General features: G+C 49.2%; 1 protein-coding gene across 1 annotated transcript in view, besides 3 other annotated features; it reads right to left on the reverse strand.

The window, feature by feature from the left end:
* Positions 11,794-11,893: an enhancer, noted in NCBI's record as "active region_2653". NCBI's record gives its function as "activates an Ori minimal core promoter by ATAC-STARR-seq in GM12878 lymphoblastoid cells {active_cell/tissue: GM12878}" and the evidence as "EXISTENCE:reporter gene assay evidence [ECO:0000049][PMID:35858748]".
* The window catches only part of ITPKB (inositol-trisphosphate 3-kinase B), a 107,593-nt gene continuing 102,792 nt past the window's right edge, over positions 15,544-20,344 (reverse strand). Inside the window, exon 8 of the mRNA NM_002221.4 lies at positions 15,544-18,740. Within this exon, the coding sequence (NP_002212.3) occupies positions 18,525-18,740 (216 nt within the window). The 3' untranslated portion in view covers positions 15,544-18,524. The remainder of the gene's footprint in view (positions 18,741-20,344) is intronic.
* Positions 16,762-16,911: an enhancer, noted in NCBI's record as "active region_2654". NCBI's record gives its function as "activates an Ori minimal core promoter by ATAC-STARR-seq in GM12878 lymphoblastoid cells {active_cell/tissue: GM12878}" and the evidence as "EXISTENCE:reporter gene assay evidence [ECO:0000049][PMID:35858748]".
* Positions 19,018-19,801: an enhancer, noted in NCBI's record as "H3K27ac-H3K4me1 hESC enhancer chr1:226822865-226823648 (GRCh37/hg19 assembly coordinates)". NCBI's record gives its function as "activates a minimal SCP1, AML or CMV promoter by ChIP-STARR-seq in primed H9 embryonic stem cells {active_cell/tissue: H9 hESC(primed)}" and the evidence as "EXISTENCE:reporter gene assay evidence [ECO:0000049][PMID:30033119]".

Raw genomic sequence — 20,344 nt, forward strand, 5'->3', positions numbered from 1 at the left:
ACCTTTCTTCTGAACTCCGGAGCCCCCGGATTTGGGGGGCATGTCTTGCCCACCTTCAGAAGTTCGAGGATTAAAATGCTTAGGAGCAACAGTGAGAGGTTTTGAGTCCCCATTTCACTCACCACTTCTCGAGCCCCCAAATGGGGCACCAAAACTTTTGCAGGACTCTTCCTTAGTTCAGTTAAAGATGGGGTTCTTTGTCCCATGGCCAGGAAAATTCAGGCTCACAGACAATTTGAATGGTGAGTGAGACAGGGTTTTATTGGGTGAAAAGGAAGAAAAGGGGGAAACAGGGAATCGCGTTACGCCGAATCCCTGCTAGACCGCTTGCGTCGCAGCTTGAATCTTAGGTTCCACCCAGGAAGAAGAGGGGCCAGGCTCCTCTGCTGCAGACATCCTGAACTCTCCGAGGCCCCACTTCAGTGAGCAGGCTGGTTGGAGTTTCTGCAGGAACCCCCTCCCATCTGGCCGTCTCAATAATAATAATAACCATTGCCATTTGTGTCATGACATATGTTTACAAGGCACTTTCCTCCATCAAGAAGAGATTCCAATTGAACCTGCATTTATTGAGTGTCTACCACATGCCAGGAATGTTCATCTGTGCTATTTTATCTTCCCAAATAGATAAGATGGTTGAGATGATTGTCTCATTAATATCTGAAGACACAGGCTAAGAGAAGTTAAGCAATTTGTCCAAAGACTCACAGCTGGGTAATGGTGGAGCCACGACTCCAAACCCACCCCTGCCTCCTAGCATCCAGTCTCTTATGTCCCATGGGGCTTCTCAGTCAGGGACTCCTCCTCCTCTCCCTTCTTGAAAGACACCTTCTTGAATCCCTGACCAAAGATGCTTCCAGAAATGGTAGTTGAGGTTTCTTGGCCCCCTTTGAGGAGAGGATTAGGCGGCTCTTTCACCTGCTGCCTTAAGTACCTGCTCTGGGCATGTGGATGGACCTGCTTGAGGTAATAGGGCGACAGCAAGAGTGGAAACCACGCACATTCACTGAGCCATGGGGCCTGGATATTCCTTCATGCCCATGATCAAGAACCAGAAGGAGGGACAAGAGGAGATAGACTGTCTCCACGTACGCATAGCTGGGGAGCTAGGACAGAAGTGCCACCCCCAGCGCAGCCCTCATGTTTCCTCACTGCCTGCTAGAGAAACACAGAGCTGAAAGTGTCAGTTCAGCCACCGCAGTGTCACTCAACCAAAGCAATGGTGAGCCTTTGCCCAGGAAGCAGCAGGCTGGGCTGCTCTTTGAGCAGGGTAGGCGCGTTCCCTGCATGGGGCTCCCCTCCCCAGGCCCCAGCCCCCACCCCCAGCCAGCAGGCAAACCCTGAGGTGCTGGGATGAAAAACTGCCCAGGAGAGGTTTGCTGTCAGCTGGGTCATGCAGACCTTCTCACATAGTGGCTGCTAGGAGCTGAATTATGCCCCCTCCTAATTGTTGAAGTCCTAATTCCCAGGACAGAATGTGGCTGTGGTTAGAGACAGGCTCTCTAAAGAGATAATTAAGTTAAAATAAGGTCATTAGGATGGCCCTAATCCAGCATGACTGGTCCGTATAGGAAGAGATGATACTTGGGAGGCTGAGGTGGGAGGATCACTTGAGTCCAGGAGTTTGAGTCCTGCCTGGGCAACATAGTGAGACCCTGTTTCTGAAAAAAAAAGAAAGAAAGAAGAGATTCGGACACACATACACAGCACACAGATAAAAGACCAGGCCAGGTACAGTGGCTCATGCCTATAATTCTAGCACTTTGGGAGGCTGAGGCAGGAAGATCACTTGAGGCCAGGAGTTTGAGACCAGCCTGGGCAGCATAGCAAGATCCCATCTCTAAAATATATATGTATTTTTATTATCCAGGCATGATGGCACACACCTGTAAGTTCTCAACTACTTAGGAGGCTGAGGTGGGTGGATCTCTTGAGCCCAGGAGTTCAAGGCTGCAGTGAGCCATGATCACACCACTGCACTCCAGCCTGGGTGACAGACAGAGTAAGACTGTCTAAAAAAACAAAAAACAAAAACAAACAAACAAACAAACAAAAACCATATGGAGACATAGAGAGAAAACACCCATCTACAAGCCAAGGAGAGAGGCTTCAGAAGGAACTGACTCTGCCTACAACTTGATCTCGGACTTTTGTCCTCCAGAGCTGTGACAAAATAAACTTCTGTTGTTTAAGCCACCCACCCTGTGATTCTGTGTTGTGGCAGCCCTAGCTAACTAACACAATGATGTGACACACGGATTGCTGAGATATTCACTTGGCAGGCAGCAGGAGGAGAGGGGGATCCCCAAAGCAAGGTAAGACACAGCATGGCAAGTCACCTGAGTGTGGTGGCGCTTTCATGGCTCAGGGCGACAGCATCTCCTGTGCCCTGGGTTGCCTCAGATACTTCTAAGGCCCACTTGCTTCCTGGTTGTTGGGAGGCATGGCTGTGCAGCTGCTCCTGGGACCCTCACCCCCGCCAGTATCCTTGGGATAACCTGGAGACCTGAGTGGCCAGGGGAGGCATTGTCCTCACTGGAACGTGACTGGCTTGTGAATAGCCCCTTGGGCTGGTGCCTCCTGTGCCTGCTGGACCTGGAGTTCAGGGCCCCCAAAAGGGACTCAGTCTGGAAGAGTTCTCAGAGGAGGAGGAGGAGGCCTATCTGTGCCCAGAGCAGGAGCCTACAGCTGTCTCGCAGTCAGAGGGGTGGATATTTATATTTTCATCAAAAATAGCTATGCTAAAAACAAAAAACAAAAAAACTCTAGAAAGCAAAGAAACTTCTCAAACTAAGAATGCCATTAATAGAGGAAATAAGCACTTTCAAACTCCCAGAAGCTACCCCATCTTCTGAGGTTCCAAACCAGGAGGGGAGCCCCGGAAGTCAGGGGACAGAGGATCCACCTCTGCTGTTGGCCTCTGGGAAAACCTGAAACCCATCCAGAATCCTTTGAAAAAGCCGAGGTGGTGATGTATGGAATTTATTACAAAGAAATCCATGTTGTTGCTTTGAGCACCCGGTCCTCCAGCATGACGGTGTCCCCACAGTCTGCATCTGCTGTCCCCTGAGTGGGATACAGCCCTTCACACTTCCCCACCAAAACCTTGCCCGGCTTCCAGGTCCAGCCCGAGAACCATGTCCACCGGTGTGAGACAAGGCTGGTCTCTGCCCTCCACCCTGTAATCCAAGAGCCAGTTCCTCCCTCATGAGCCCCATGGGATTCTTGGGGAGGCTGCCGGTCCCAGAGCCCACCCCTCCCTGAGCAAAGGTGGGCCTGTGGCCCCAGCCAGACCAATAGCATGTCCTTCTCCGTGGGCTAATATGGAATGATCGGGGTCTTCAATGAGATCTTTCTAACTGGTATTATGGGAAAACGATTTTTCCTCCTGAAGCTACCCATAACCAAGGTTCCCACCTCATACAGCAAGAGGCCAGCATGCAGAGGAGAGCAGAGATGAGAGATGGAGGGAGAATGTCTCATGCCGTCATCCCCAAGGCCAGTGCTAGCCCTGTTTCACCCAGAGTTTAATCGCATGAGCTACCTGCTCCTCCCTCCACAATTTTGAAAACTGACATCTGAAGAAGATTGAGTCTCCTCATTCATGACCATAATTTATCATCCCATATATTTAGCCCCCCTTTGATTTCTTTCATAAACATATCATAGTTTTCAGCATACAGATTCTACACATATTTTGTTAGACATATACCTAAGTATTTTATGGTTTGGGGTGCTATTTATTACACATAATATTGTCTTGAAAATATCAATATCCATTTGCTCATTGCTGGTATATAGAAATATGATTGATTTTTGTGTATTTACCTTGTATCCTGCAACCTTGCAAAGCTCGCTTGTTTTAGTTGCTTTTTTTTTTGTACAATTCTTTTGGATTTTCTAAGTCGACCATAATGCCATCTAAAAATAGAGAAAATTTTACTTTTTCCTTTGCAATATGTATTTTTCATAAAAAGTTATTTTTCTTGTCTTATTTCAGTGGATAGAACTTCCAGTACAATGTTGAATAGGAGTGGTGAGGGGAAATACATTTTCCTTGTTCAGATTAGGAGGAAAAGAGTTAATCTTTCACCATTAAGTATAATGGCAAATCCAAGTATTCTTGCTTTTGTTTTTTGTAGAAACTCTTAGCACATTAAGGAATGTCCTTCTATCCCTAGTTTATTGGCATTATTACCATGAATGTTGCTTTTTTTTTTTTTGAGACAGAGTTTTGCTCTGTCACCCAGGCTGGAGTGCAGTGACACTATCTCGGCTCACTGCAAGCTCCGCCTCCCAGGTTCACACCATTCTCGTCTCAGCCTCCGGCTAGCTGGGATTACAGACGCACGCCACCATGCCCAGCTAATTTTTTTTGTATTTTTAGTAGAGACGGGGTTTCACCGCGTTAGCCAGGACGGTCTGGATCTCCTGACCTCGTGATCCGCCCACCTCGGCCTCCCAAAGTGCTGGGATTACAGGCATGAGCCACTATGCCCAGCCGCATTTTTTAAAACACATTTTCTGCATTTATTAATATCATGTGTATATTTTAAACTGTTGATATGATGAATTACACTGATTAATTTTCAATCTGGAACCAGTTTTATATTCCTAGGATAAACTCCATGTGGTCATAAGTTATTACCCTTATTACATATTGCTGGATGTGATTTGCTAATATTTTGTTAAAATTTTTTATTTCTATGTTCATGAAAGATACTGGTCTGTCATTTTCTTATAATGCGTTTGTCTGGTTTTGGTATTAGGATAGTGCTGACCTCATAAAATGGATTGGAAAGTGTTTCCCGCCTTCTACTTTCTGGAAAAATTGGTATAGAATTATATAGAGAATTATAGTATTTTTTCCTTCAATGATTAGTAGAATTTATCAGTGAAGTCATCTGGCCCTGGTGTTTTTTCTGTGGAAAGATTTTTGACATAACTTCATTTTCTTTAATAAATACAGAACTATTCAATTCATGGATTTCTTCTTGAGTGAGTTTTGGTAGTTTGTGTCTTTGTCCATTTTATCTGAATTGTTAAATTTGTGAGCATAAAGTTGTGTCTAATATATCTTTATCATTCTTTTTAGGGCTGCACTGTTATTCTTATTGATAGTCACCATAATCAATTTTAGAACATTTCACCACCCTAAAAAGAAACCCCATACCAATTAGCAGTTACTCCTCATTTCTTCATAACCCCCCAGGCCTAGGCAACCACTAATCAGCCTTCTGCCTCTATGGATTTGCTTATTCTGGACATTTAATACAAATGGAATCATACAACATGTGGTCTGTTGTGTCTGGCTTCTTTCACTAGTGTAATGAGTTCTAAGTTCATCCATATTGTAGGATGTATCAACATTTCATTTCTTATAATTCCCAGATAATATTCAATTGTATGCATATACCAGCTATATCTACCCATTCATTAATTGTTAGATATTTGGGTTGTTTTCACTTTTTGGCTATTATGAATAATGCTGCTAGGAACATTTGTATACAAGTTTTTGTCTGAACATCTATTTTCATTTCTCTTGGGTATATATCTAATAGTAGAATTGCAAGATCTTATGGTAATTCTGTGTTTAACCTATTCAGGAACTGCAAGACTGTTTTCCAAAGTGACTGCACCATTTTATATTCCCATCAGCAGTGTATAAAGTTCCAAGTTCTCCACATCCTGGCCAACACATTGAATTTTCTTGGCACCCTTGTCAAAAATCAATTGAACATAAATGTGAGGAATTATTTTTGGATCCTCAATTCTATCCCATAAGGATATACATTGGTCTATATGTATATCCTTATGCCAGTACCACTTGATTACTGTAGCTTTGTAGTAAGTTTTGAACCAGGAAATGTAAGTCCTCCAACTTTCTTCTCTTTTCAAGATTGTCTTGGCCATTCTGGGTCTTTTTGTTTCCATGTGAATTTTAAAAACAGTTTGTCAATTTCTGCAGTGAAGCCATCTGGGATTTTGATAGAGAATATATCAGACTTGTAAGTCAATTTGACATATATTGCCATTTTCTAACAATATTATGTCTTCCAATCCATGAACATGGGATATCTTTTCATTATTTAGGTCTTCTTTACTTTCTTTCAATAATGTTGTATAGTTTTCAAAGGTAAGTTTTGCACTTCTTTTGTTATATTTAGTTCTAACTAACAGCCTCATTTAAAGAATAATTAATGCCATTTTATCACAAATTCTTCCTACAAATACAAAAGGAAGAAACACTTGCCTCCTGCAAGAAAGAACTGGCCTCTGCTGTCCTTGGGCCCATAATGGTCTATCCAAGTCAGAGGGTCCACCCAGCACCCTCTGCAGAGTGACCCCTCATCCAGACCACAGGACCCTTGGCTCACTCTCATCTTTGCTCCTGTTCTTTCCTTCTGGAGTTTTCTCATAGACCTGAGCAGGGCTGGAGACTCCTCAGCTCCCAAGTGGACCTGAGCACCACTCTGCCTGCTCTATTGCTCTATCCCAGCCACACAGAGGACATCAGTGGGGCTGATGACCCCCACTCCAGTTGGTAACCTGCACTCCAGTTGGTAACCTGCACTCCAGTTGGTAACCTGCACTCCAGTTGGTAACCTGCACTCCAGTTGGTAACCTGCACTCCAGTTGGTAACCTGCACTCCAGTTGGTAACCTGCACTCCAGTTGGTGGCAGCCCAACTGATCTGCCCGCCTCGGCCTCCCAAAGTGCTGGGATGCCCAGCCCATCTTAACTTTCAAGAGAATCGGTTAAGATACAACAAACAGGCTGGGCACGGTGGCTTACACCTGTAATCCCAACATTTTGAGAGGCTAAGAGGAGAGGATCACTTGAAGCCAGGACTTCAACACCAGCCTGGGCAACATAGTGATACCCCCCATCTCAACAGAAAATAATTTTTTAAAAATAGCCGGGCGTGGTGGCTTGCTTCTGTAGTACCAGCTATTGTGAGGCTGAGGCTGGAGAACAGCTTGAACCCGGGAGGTTGAGGCTGCAGTGAGCCATGATTGCACCACTACACTCCAGCCTGGACAGAGAAAAAAAGATAGATACAACAAACAGTTGTGTTGCTGCTAGAGAATGAGAGAGGTTACTTCTTTTTTTTTTTTGAGACAGTCTCACTTTGTTGCCCAGTCTGGGGTGCAGTGGCACAATCATGGCTCACTGCAGCCTCGACTACAGGCTCACCACTAAGCTCAGATATTTTTAACTTTTTTAGAGATGGGGCTCTCACTATTTGTCCAGGCTGGTCTTGAACTCCTGGCTTCAAATTATCCTCCCACTTTGGCCTGCTTTGGCCTCTCAAACGTTACTCCTTCTGAGCAGAACTTTGTTTGAAAGAGGAAAACATACCATTGATATACAGTGGTTTACTATGCATCTTTGGCTATAGCCTGTGATAAATTGTGTCTCACTACTATTTATCTTACTCTATTAATTTTTTCATAAAGGCAGTACCTAGAGTTTTGGTACAAAACTAAAAGTAACAGAAGGACCCAGTTTTGTGGGAGGAACTCCACCTCCTTCCTCCCCAATCTACCGATGGGTCTCCTTTCCAGATACAAGGGTCCTTACTAGAGAATTCCTTGCCATCACAAACTGTTACCAACCTAGCTTTTTTCCAGTTAACAGTACAACCTGGGGAGTGCTCCTTCTCAGTGCTGATAGCTGCTTCATTCATGTAAGAGCTGCACAAGGTGTAGGTATGTATTTAACCAGCCCCCACAATGACACAGAGGTCATCTTCAATCTTTTACTGTCCCAGAAAGGAACATTCTTGTACCAATGTCATTTGACGTGTGGGCCATGGTATCTGTAAATAAAAACCTGGAAAGTTTTGCTGGGCCCTTGAGTATGTGCTTAAAAAAATCTGGAATGCTGGCCGGGCGCGGTGGCTCACACCTGTAATCCCAGCACTTTGGGAGGCCAAGGTGGGCAGATCACCTGAGGTCAGGAGTTTAAGACTAGCCTGGCCAACATGGTGAAACACGTCTGTACTAAAAACACAAAAAAATTAGCCAGGCATGGTGGCAGGCGCCTGTAGTCCCAGCTACTCAGGAGGCTGAGGAAGGAGAATCGCTTGAACCCAGGAGGCAGAGGTTGCAGTGAGCTGAGATCGCACCACTGCACTCCAGCCTGGGCGACATGAGCGAAACTCTGTCTCAAAAAAAAAAAAAAAAAAAAAATGGAATACTTATTGCCAAATTGTCCCTTACAAAAGTAGCATAGCTTTTTTAACAAGCTCATTGATGTATGTGTTGATATATTATTTGTTATTGCTCCTTATTTCATGAGTTTTAGCATTTACAAATAGTTAGATTTGTTTTTTTATAAACAGATTCTACTAAGAATTTGTGAGCTCCATAAACAGCAAGTTACTGCCCCTGCCCAAGCCCAGGTGCTGTTCTAATCCTGACAAGGGCACTGTCATGGATCCTGGGTGGTGGGGGATGGGGGTGGTCCCAAGGTCTCACCTGCTCACTGGGGTGCATGGGCTGTGGTAGGCCCTCTAAGTTCTATTTTTCCATTCCTTCAACTAACAGGTTCCAAGTTGCCACTATGTACCAGGCCCCGGGCTGCAGCTGGGGATGCCAGGATGATGACAATTCACAGTGTGGAATAAGTGCCAAAAAAGAAGGGCTCGGGGACACGGAAGGGGAGCCCATCTCTGTCAGGAGGATTCCGGATGATTTAGTCACAAAACAGTGACTAGAACAAAATCCTTACGCATGTACATACTTCTGATTATGAAAGCCAATTATGCTTGTTGGGAAATTTTTAAGTAAGCAAAAAACTGTAAGGTAGAAAAGAAAAACCTTTGGGAGGCCAAGGCGGGTGGATCACAGGAGGTCAGGAGTTCAAGACCAGCCTGACTAACATGATGAAACCCCATCTCTAATAAAAATACAAAAAATTAGCCAGGTGTGGTGGTGGATGCCTATAATCCTAGCTACTTGGGAGGCTGAGGCAGGAGAATCGCTTGGACCTGGGAGGCGGAGGTTGCAGTTAGCCAAAATCGCGCCACTGTTCTCCAGCCTGGGCAATAAGAACAAAACTCTCAAAAAAAAAAAAAAAAAAAGAGAAACCACTCATTATCCCATCACTCAAACCAATCTCTGTTAATAATCTGATGTTTTTCTTTTAATTCTGAAACTTCAGGACTCACTGGCACATCCACTTCTCAATTCTGCATTTCTCACTGAGTGCGGCAGTGTGTGTCTGCCTGCCTGCTGCGCCCCAGCAATCCTCTGATGCTATCCCCATGACTCCTGCCCAGGTCTGGTTCCTGAACTCCAGGCCCACGTGTCCAGTTGGCCTCAGATGTGGATGTCCCACAGCCACCTGTAACTAGATGTGTCTCAACTAAACTCATTCCCTGCTCCCCTGCCCTCCAGTCCTGCCTGTCCTCCCATGCTCCCAGCTCAGGGTGGGCCATCCCCATGCTTCTGGCCTACCAGCCAGTCATTCTCGGGACACCCAGGCCCACGATGTTACAGCCACAGTGGAAGGGCATCCATGCAACCTCATCGTCATCTCTCCTGCTCATGGCCTTGACCTCACTTCAGGACCCCATCATCTCTCCTCTGCTTCACCTGACCTCCTCCTAATGAATCTCCTCGCATTGTCTTCCCTTCTTTAAGCCACAGGCAGCCAGAGTGACCCCATCACATGCAAATGTGATCTCATCATGCCCCACCTTGACAGCCTCCAAGGACACCTGCTTGTCACTGCAGGAAAGTCCATGCGCCTCACCCTGGCTCCCCAGGTCGTGATCCAGCCCTGACCCCTTCACCAGCTCCACAAGGGTCCTCTGCTCCCACTGCCTGGAGTGACTCCAGATGAAGCATGCTCTGGAGGTGCCTCTGTGACCTTCATGTTCTGCTCCATCCTCCAATCTCCTGGTGCCACGTCCTCTGCAAAGCCTCCCTTCAGTGACCTTCTTGTCCCTCTCCTGGGTCAGGCCTCCTCTGTACTCCGTGGAGCCCCATGTTTGCCCCACCACGGCCCTCTTCACACTGCATGCCATGTGCCTGCGAACCCGACCACTGCCACGCCATGCCCTATATCTGGGTTCTAATCCTGGCTCTGGCATTCACTAGCTGTGCAAACTTGGTCAAATTATTCAATCTCTCTGAGCATGTTTCCTAATTTATACATGTATTTATGATAACACTAATAGCACCCCCCTCAACTGGGGGTGCTAGTAGTGTACAGATGAAATAAAGTAACCGGTGTACAGTGTGCACCACCCTGCCCAGCACACAGGAAGCCCTCCCTAACCTTTGGTTTTGGCGATTCCTTCATCATTGCCATGGTCACTGCCTTTCTGCCAGGGCAAAGATGTAGCCAGGCTGGGAGAAGCCATGAAAGAAAGGGAGCTTTCTCTTCTCCAGGGCATTCCTGGGGGTACAGGATTGGACGTCGCTGAGCTCCTGACCCGTCTTCCTTTTCTTCGGGCACCTTGTAATGCACCCGACCGTCCAGAAGGGGGCAGCCTCTGCAGGCGGCGCCAGGCTATTTCAGACGCCTCTGTAGGCGGCCCTCTTGATCTCACTCCAGCACGTGTTCTCAGAAAGCATGACTAAAATTGGGCATTTTTTTTTCCATTGAAATAAAAACAGGGCTGCTGTCGACAGCAAACTGGCTCTGTAAGATACTGTTTGTCCATAATTTGCAGAAGCTATTTTTAAAATAACCCAAACACATGTTGCCACATTGAAAGCCACAGAAATTAGCATTGCACTTTTTCCCCCCAAAACTGCTTTACTCATTCACAAGTTTGAAAAGGTACAGGTTGGAAGTTAGAAACCGTCCAGGATGTTAGTTAGCAACAGATGCACCGTTATCGACCCCAAATTCAAATGTTGAAGCCCTAACCCTTCATGTGTATTTGGAGATAGGGCGTGTGAGGAGATGGTAAGGGTTGAATGGGTCATAAAGGTGAGGCCCTAACCCAATAGGGCTAGTTGCCTTATAAGCAGAGGAGTGTGCTCTCTGCAGTGTGAGGACGTAGTGAGAAGGTGGCTGTCTGCAAGCCAGGAAGAGAGCCCTCCTTAGAAACTGAACTAGCCTGGCCTTGATCTTGGACTTTCCACCCTCCAGACCTGTGAGAAAATACATTTCAGTTAAGCCATGCAGTGTGTGCTGTGTTTTTATGGCAGTCCAAACAGACTGAGACAGGTGTCTGATGGCACTTTGACCCTCTCTTGTATTATTGTTGTCATTATTACATCAACTCGTTATTTTCTTGTTTAAAAAAAACCCTGCAAGCCCTCATGTCTTGCTAAAGCATGAAATCCATCTTCTCACTCCTGGTTTGCCATTCCCTTTCTCACTTGCTTGTTGAATTTGTCATCTCAGGCCCATGCATGGCACTTGAAATGCCAGGAGCGGGCCACAGCTGTTGCAGTAAAACAGCAAGAAAAATGACTTGTCCACTGTTTCGAGGTGTTTGTGGGAACTAGGATAATATTCCGTGTTTCTGTGGGAGGGCATGGGAGCCAGCCTGTGAGCTAAAGAGTAAACTTGGTTCTGCACAGTCAGTCTGCTGTGAGGAGAGAGGACTGGGGTGTGGGGGGTGCCTAGGTTGTGCTCCCCTGAAGGGTTTCAGAGAGCCCAGAACAAAAACAGTGCCTCCTTAGAGAGACCCAGGGTCCCCACCTGCATTAGTCCATTTTCACACTGCTATAAAGAACTACCTAAGACTGGGTAATTTATGAAGAAAAAAAAGGTTTCATTGACTCACAGTTCTGCATGGTTGGGGAAGTCTCAGGAAACTTACAATCATGGCAGAAGGCAAAGAGGAAGCAAGGCACGTCTTACGTGGTGGCAGGAGAGAGTGAGCGAGGCGGGGAAATGCCAAACACTTTTAAAACATCAGATCTTGTGGGAACTCACTTATATCATGAGAACAGCAGGGGGGAAACCACCTCTATGATCCAATCACCTCCCACCAGGTCCCTCCCTCGACATGTGGTGATTACAATTCAAGATGAGATTTGAGTGGGGGGACACAGAGCCAAACCATATCCCCACCCCACCCCAACTCCCCCAGTCCTGCTGGAGAGCAAGTCCTGCCAGTTGATCTTGGGGGCTAGAGCCAAGGGTTGCTGCAACTCAGCTGTCCATACTCCACAGGGCCTGGCCAGGTCCCCAAACCAGGACTCAGCTTGACAACGGCTGTCTCAGTAGTCCCAGAATAGTGCTGGTGCCGGGGCAAACCCCGCTGCTGTGGAGACCTCCTGGACTGCTCAGGAATAGGGCGCAGAGTCAGGGAAAGGTTTTGAACCTTGTTTCAAAGCCTGCATCTGTTGCCTACCAGCTGTGTGATCTTAGATGAGTTACTCACCCTCTCTGTGCCTCTGCTTTCTTACCTACAAAGTGGGGTCGACGAAGCTGATCATAGACTTTTTTATAAAGATTAAGCTACTTAGCTTTAATCACCTGGTATGGTGCCTGGCACAAAGCAATCTTTAATTGCTACTGGTTGCCATTATTCTCAGGCAGGAGTTGGCAAACTTTCTCTGTATAGGGCCAGATGGTAAATATTTTAGGCTTTGCAGCCGCGCGGTCTCCGTGACAACTACACAATTCAACTCTGCTATTATAGTACTAAAGCAGTTACAGACCAAACATAAATTAATGGCATGGCTGTTTCCAATAGACTATTTAGGAAATCAGGTGGGCCATATTTCTAAGGTGACGCCTGTTCAGAAGCTGGGCGGTTAAGGGAGTGGAAAAGAGGGGGCCAGGGGCCAGGCAGGTCTCTGACGCACAGAAATGTCACACACTAGAGGCAGCAGGCGAAGGGGCCACTCGTCCATGATGTCTTACTGGGCAGGGTTATTACAAGCCTGGGCCCATACACCATCTGGGCATTTACCAATGGACTTTGGAGGCTGGGGGGTGTCCGTGGGTCCCTAAATTTGTACATAGAATCATTTGTGTACATGCATATGAGTTGTTCTGGAGAGATTTACAGCTTCCTCTAAATTATCTAAGGTATATGTGACCCAAAAGGTGAAGAACTACCATGTTAACACAAGCGACCATCTGGACGTCAGTGAAGACCTCCCAGAGATTGTGGTGCCCTAGCAGAGGTGGGGAGGAGAGGTCGCAGGGCTGACCCGGCCCACAGCTGCTTAGAAGCAGGCCTCTCCCAGTGCCTCTCGCAGGGTCTTTCCCTCATCGCCAATTCTCAGACTGGTTCGAGGAGTATTGTTCTGGTGTGCCCTGGTATGGAGACGGTCTCCTCTCACCAACACTGCTGAGCACTCCACAGTCAACCTACCGTGGCACCCTGCGGAGCTCCTTTATTCTCAGCTTCTCTCCCCTACCCAGACCAGAATTGGGGGGCAGTCCCATGTGACCCCAGCCTCCTGCCCAATCGAATAAAAGGGTGAAGCCCTCAGTCGAGGACATACAAGGGGCAGAGAGGACCGGCAGGGGCTGGGGGCTGGATGGACGCTGCCTTGCTGGCGTTTGCTGGAAAAAGGTCCCATCCAAACTTAGTTTACACAATGTGCCAGACTGCAGCCACCCAGCCATGGCCAGTACGGTGCCTGTGGTCTTGGAGCCACATCACCAATGCTGCCACCACCGCAGGGACATGCTATGGAGATGTGACATCTGTGCACAGGCTCAGGGGCTCCATGGTTACTGGAGAGGCTGACGGTGCCACCCCAGAAATCACACCCTCTGGGAAGACTGACCACTGGGAGACAGAGCCAGCGGGAGCTGGCACAGATATTTCTATCCCTGCCTCCTCTAGGAGGACTGTCCCCAGACACGGCAGTTCACACAGTGTCTCTGAAGACATCCCATGAGACTAAGGAGTCAATCACACTTGCTGCCAAGCAGTGGCCACAGTGACCTGTTTCTAGGGGGCCCAGGCTAAGGCAATTGGTGCCAGCAGTGGTCCTGGAAAGCAACTGGTGACTGACCATCCAGGTTTGCAAGGACACAAACGGGACAGCTGGTCTCCTTAGAAAACAGACCGCAGGGTGGAATTCTGCAGTTGGATGGCCCACCCTTCTCAAGGCAATAAAGGGCTCCATTGCTGGACATTGCTTGGCACCTGCAGAGCTGGTTGCTGTAGCATCACCAACAATACCATGTAAGTGAAGGCACAAAAATCTGAAGGAAGCATAGTTACCACATGCCAGCCTGTGGAGAGCAGGTGCAAAGGCCCTGTGGCTTTCATCATCTGTACTCACAGCCTATCACTTCTCAGAGTGATGATAAAGAAAGGATGCAGCTGGGCGCGGTGGCTTATACCTGTAATCCCAGCACTTGGGGAGGCTGAGGTAGGAGGACTGGTCGAGGCCAGGAGTTTGAGACCAGCCTAGGCAACATGGTGAAACCCCATCTATACAAAAAATGCAAAAAAATTAGCTGGGCGTGGTGGTGCATGCCTGTGGTCCCAGCTACTCAGGAGGCTAAGTTGGGAGGATCACATGAGCCCAGGAGGTGGAGGCTGTAGTGAGCCATGATCGTGCCACCGCACTCCAGCCTGGGAAACAGAGGAAGACTGTTAAAAAAAGAAAGAAACAGAGAGAGAGAGAAGGAGGAAGAGGAGGAGGCAAAAAGAAGAAAGAAGGAAGGGAGGGAGAGAGAGAGAGAGAAAGAAGAAGAAAGAAAGAGAAAAGAAAAGAAAAAAGAAAAGAGAAGAGAAAAGAAAAGAAAAGAGGGAGGGAGGAGGAAGGGAGGAAAGGAAACAAGAAAGGAGAAAGGAGAAGAAGGAAGGACCTCCACCTCCAAATAAAGAATTCTGAGTTCTGCAAATGAAGCCCCCAGCAATCCAGAGCTAGGGAGAGGACTAAAGGAAAAGTGTACGGTAGCAGATGGTGAAACCATCATGATGTGTGGCAGGGGCTTCACCCCCAAAGGTCTTTCCTGGATGCCCCAGCCAAGTAGCCATGAACTAGTTCTCCAGACCCTCCCTGGGCTGCTACCGTGTGCCAAGTCAGAGGCTTAGAGCCTGGGATCTGGGACAAAAATAAGACAAGCTTTCTGCCCTCCAGACACTGCTCCCCACACCCCCCCACTGCCAGTTAGGAGGACGACAAAATTGGTTTTCAATCAAGGCACATTCTAGATTCAAATCCCTGCTCCCCACTTAGGTCAAGTTGCTTCATTTAAACCTCAGTTTCCTCATCTGTAAAACAGACTATAAATCTTTGTTCAGGGAATTGATCTGGGTAAAACGGGAACTCCGATGGGCGTGTTCAGCCCCAGTCTAGCTTAGAGTAAGGCCCCAGAAGCGATCGCTGCACCGGAGACCCCCCTACTTGGGGACAGTGCTTCTTGGTTGATGTTCTAGTCTCTGAGCTACTATTTCAAAGTTTCATGAGGGTTGAAAAGACTCATTTTGGAGAGTGGTTTATATTCTTTACAAATTAAAATGTTACCCAGTCTGACACCCACTCCCCTAACAGCCCCCATGTGGGCCCTCTAGCTTCCTAAGACTCCCCAGCCTGCCCCTCAGCCAGGTCTCAGGGCTGGGGGCCAGAAGGATCACACCACAGACAGCGCTGGTCTCCAAGGCTTTATTCAGGAAGGTTTGCATCTGTTTGACAGGCACTGTGCAGGGGTTTGTAACAGTTCAGTTTTCTCCAAGGTCCCATGGGGAGAGGGGTGCAGAACAGGAAGAGAGCCTCTCGGCAGGCGGGGGGGGTCCTCTCCTCCAGAACAAAAGGCACTGACGAGGTGACCACCCCAGAGCCAGGGGCTGGGTTATATACACATGGGGTGGACAGATGCAGAGAAACTCAAAGCTAAATACAACTGAAGGATGAAAGAGTCCATCTTACAGGGCCAGGGCTGCTTCTGGGCTCTTTCTACCAAGTGGGAAAGGAAGTTCAAAACAAAGGCAAAGCTTTCAAGGAGAAACAAGAGTCCAGCCTTTCGGTCTTAGTGTTCTGTGCAATTTTAAAACCCAACAAAATAAATATAACTTAAAAATGTCTTACATGACACTAAAGGCAAGCCTGGGAAAAGCAAGCAGTTGAAGAAACCTTCCGAGAATGCTAAGCAGTGCTGAATGCCAGGAACTCGTGGGGCCCCCCGCAGGACAGGGCAAGAGGACCCTGCGCCCATTCACCTGGGCACAGGTACACAGAGTTTGTCCTGCCTGCTGGCACATGCACTGCCAGGACCCAAGGAGTCCCTGTGGTGACGAGGGCTGGGCAGGCACGGTCTTCCAGGCTGCCAGGGCAGGGGTTCTGGGAGATTCCATTTCACAATCCATCTATCCCACTGAGACAAAGGGAAGGGCCAGATGGCAGGGAAGCGAGTGGCAAAATGGCTTGAGAGACAGAGTAGGTGTAGAAGAGAACTAGCACGGTAAATACAAAAAAAGAGAAAAAAAAAACAGAAAACAAAAACCCTAAGTAACAGAATAACCCTAAAATGATGCTACTTCATACTATGTTCACATATTTAATGTAACCCACAGCCAAGTATTGCCAATAAGAGGCCCCATGGGCCTCCTTTAATAAGCACATCATTTGCATATTAGCACATTGTTTGCAAACAGCTGGTGTCTGCCTAAAGTGCTTGGAACATTTTGTTCTCTTAAACAGGTCCCCTGTAATTTTTGTTCATATCATGATTTGCTTTAGCAAACTTCTTTCACAGATGGAGTAAGGATAACTTTTGGCCAGTCCATATTCATAGAATCTTTACGTCTGAATTAATGATGCCCCTGCCCTGCAAATGGCTGAAGCACAGACCACCAGGGTCCCTTCTAGCCCAAAAGTCACTATAGCTCCAGAGGCCCAGAGTTGACTTTGGCTCCCCAACGCCCCCGTCCTGCCTGCCTTCCAGATCACATGCTGCCACGAGGTCTCTCGTGCTCCACCGGGCGCGTGTGTGACCTTTAGCAAGTCGGCCCACACAGGAGCTCACCACTGTTTTAAACAAGAGCCAGGAAGTGTAAGTTGATTTCCTTTTTTAAAATCTGTACTTATACATCCTCATGTGTCCCACCCTCCACCCCCAGCAAGTGTCACTCACACTTCCAGCACAAAAGGGGAAATGTACATGTCCCGTGGGCAGGTTGACAGTTCCCCAGAGACCCCGGGGTGGTGGGGTGGGCAGTGGTTCCTCCAGACACACACACCTTGGTCCATAGTCTCCCTCTGTGTCCCTAGCTCCTGGACTCTCCCAGCTCCTGTACCTCTGACAGCAAAGGAGTGGGTGGCAAGCCCCAAGGAGCATGGGGCACAGAGCTGGGGGTTTTGTTCTTAAGAAGTCAGGCAAATTTTACATTCCCTTCCATATCAGACTCACTGGCTTTCAGTTAAAATTGGGCTTAAATAGGTTCTCCACGAATCTCCAAATGCAGAGACTTCAGGAAGAGGTGCCTGGAGCACGCCCTGGCATCCACCACATACCCTACAAGATACCCACACTACATTGGAGAAGCAGGAATCTAAGCCCTCCAGGCAGTAAGGCTTGTTTCAGAGGCAATAACAAATGATGCCAGGAGGCCACCGCGGCACCTCTGGAAGCCAGAAGCCTGCCTTCTTCCTGCCTGGCGCAGACCTGAGCTCCTCCCCTATTTCTATATCTGCAAGGGACTCTGGGCCCCATGACAGGAGCCCATGTATGCAGGCAGGGTTGACCAACTAGCACCAGGTAGGTGAGGGTCAAGAAAAATGTGCTCCTCCCTGGGGCCAGGGCCCAGAGACTCTATAGATCCCATCTTCCCCTGGTAGCACCCTTGGAGCTCAGCATGGCAGAGTGTGCCTTCTGAACTCATGGGTTGCAATTCCAAGTGGCACAGCTTCTGCTCGCCTCCTCTGGGAAGGCCTAGATCAGAGAACACAGCCAAGCTGGCTTCAGCCTTCTCTTGGCTCCTGGGTCTGGCCTGGAGCCGGCAGGTTTCCATACCAGATGGGTGGGGGGCCTTGCCTGAGCAGCCCTGGAGAGGCCACCAGGGCATCCCTGAGGCTGCTAATCGGAAGACACTTTGCTCACAGTCAACATGTGGTTCCCCGATGGTTTTGTGCCCCAACTACCAGAAAGCCCTGCTCCCAGCCAGGGACCAGGAACCCGGCCGGCCCCCTGGGCTCTCCGGTGGGGAGGCCCCGGCAGAAATAAGGCTGTGCTTGGCAGCACTCTAACAGCACTGGCCGCCAGGGGGCAGCAGGCCTCCGCAGGTGGTAGGTCCAGGCTGGTGCTTCCTAGGGGGCTCCCAGAGGCAGGGCTCATCTGGTAGGGTCCCCTCAGCAGCCAGGGACCCCCTCCAGCTCTACACCTGACCCACCTCTAAGACTGGGCATTTCTCTTCTAGTAGGTGACCCTCTCTACAAAAAGCAGTGCAAACACCACCTCCAAGCCCTGAAGTTAGGAAAATGACTAGAAACTCTCATCTCCTCTTCTACAAAGTGTCTTGTAGTGCAGTTCAGGAGGGTCAGTCAGGTGTAAGTGAAGGAAAAGTTAGGAACGAGAAAGGAAGCACAGGAGGAGGAAAGGAGGCCCAGGCGGGGGCCAGGGAGGGCGTGGGCAGCTCAGGCGAGTGGGGCATCCTGGGACATCTCGGTCAGGATGTCGACGAGGTTATTGAGCCCCGAGAGGTAGCCATCCTCCCGGTTCCCCTCCTGCCAGGGGACGTCATGCTGCAGGGTCTGGCCCTCAGGCAGGGGCGTGGTTTTCCCAAAGTCGATCATCCACACTTTGGCCTGTTCCTTCTTGTCGTGGATGAAGAGGAGGGAGCTGCCAATGACCTGAGGAGAACATGGGGGTGAAGGGTGAGCTGAAGCCCGGGCCTCGCCCTCCCCACTGCGGCCCGGGGCCTGGGTGACCAGGTGGGGAGGCTCGCTCAGGCCGGACAGTTGGGTGCCTGCAATTCCAATCCCCATTTTCAGACAGGCAGCAGAGCCGGCCCAAGAATGGCCATGCCTGGGCAGAGGGCATCGGGTTCCAGGGTCGGCGACCACCCTTCTGTGTGGGCAGCAGCAGGCACCCCTTCACCCCCTGACTCTGGCCTGCACACTTTCCACTCCTTCCCTCCCTCTTTCTTTCCTTCCTTCCTGCCTTCCTTCTTTTCCTTCCTTTCTTCCCTTCCTTCCTTCCTTCCAGACAGGGTCTTACTCTGTCGCCCCAGCTGGAGTGCAGTGGTGCAACCTCAGCTTACTGTAGCCTTGATCTCCTAGGCTCAAGCGATCCTCCCACCACAGCCTCCCGAGTAGTTGGGACTACAGGCATGCACCACGATGCCCGGCTAACTTTTTGTTTTTTATTTTTGTAGAGACAGGGTTTCACTATGTTACCCAGGCTGGTCCCAAACTCCTAAGCTCAAGCCATTCTCCTGCCTTGGCCTCGGAAAGTGCTGAGATTACGGGCATGAATCACACTGCACCTGGGCAAACTTTCCACTCTTTCTAGACCACAACCCAATCTGGGGCCTCGCCCTTCCGCCTCCTAGAACCTGACTCCTCCCAAACACTCTGCAGGGAACCACAGTGAAGGGGAAGGTGCCCAGGAGCGTCCAAACTATCCCGGGGCGGGGGTGGTGAAGAACCTGTTTCAAATGCACACAGCACCCCCACCCCAGCAGCACAACCCCTGCAGATTCAGCGTGGGCAGACCCTATAGGGCCTTCCCAGCCTGGCCCAGGGATAGTGGGCACCAAAGAGCCTGCCCCTCCTGGGTGAGCTCAGAGCCTCTGCATGGGAGCGAGGCGCTTTCCCAAATATGGCCACACATACCCCTGCATCACCTCAGTGGGGCCAGAGGAAGGCCGGGGGCACAGAAAGGGCTCAGGTGACATTCCAGCTTCCAGCAGTGCAGGGCAGGTGGGGCCCCTGGCGAGGCTGAGCCCAAAAAAGGGGCTTCCTCTTCGCAGGTGGAAAACAACAGACCCAAGCTGATTTGGCCTCTTTCTAGACCTTAAGGGAGACCCCAAAAAGTGTAGAACAAAATGCTTTTCCAAGAAATAAAAGCAGAAGTGTTGAAGAAGGGTGGGAACGGCTTTGAGACAGAGCTCTGTGGCCTTAAGTTCTCCCAGGCTTGGCCCCTGGGGTCAGGCAGCCAGGCAGCACCCCCATCGTCCAGAGAGGCAGCTGGGGCAAAGGGGGCTCTGGCAGGTGGCAGGAGGATGCTTCATCAAGTGGAAAGGAGAGGCCACAGGAGGAGCTGAGGGTCTGGGGGACAAGGAGAGCAAAGAACATTCCGAGAAGGACCGAGCTCCCTGCTAGGGGCACAGCAAAGCCTGAGTCTCCTCTCTGGGTGTGCCACCCCCTCCTCGCAGCCATCCTCTCCAGGCGCCCCGCAGGGAATGACATGCAGAGCAAGGTAGACCATCTGCCTGAGGAGGCCTGGTGGTGTA

This window comes from Homo sapiens, chromosome 1 (genome assembly GCF_000001405.40).
Source record: "Homo sapiens chromosome 1, GRCh38.p14 Primary Assembly".
Classification (NCBI taxonomy): Eukaryota; Metazoa; Chordata; class Mammalia; order Primates; family Hominidae; genus Homo; species Homo sapiens.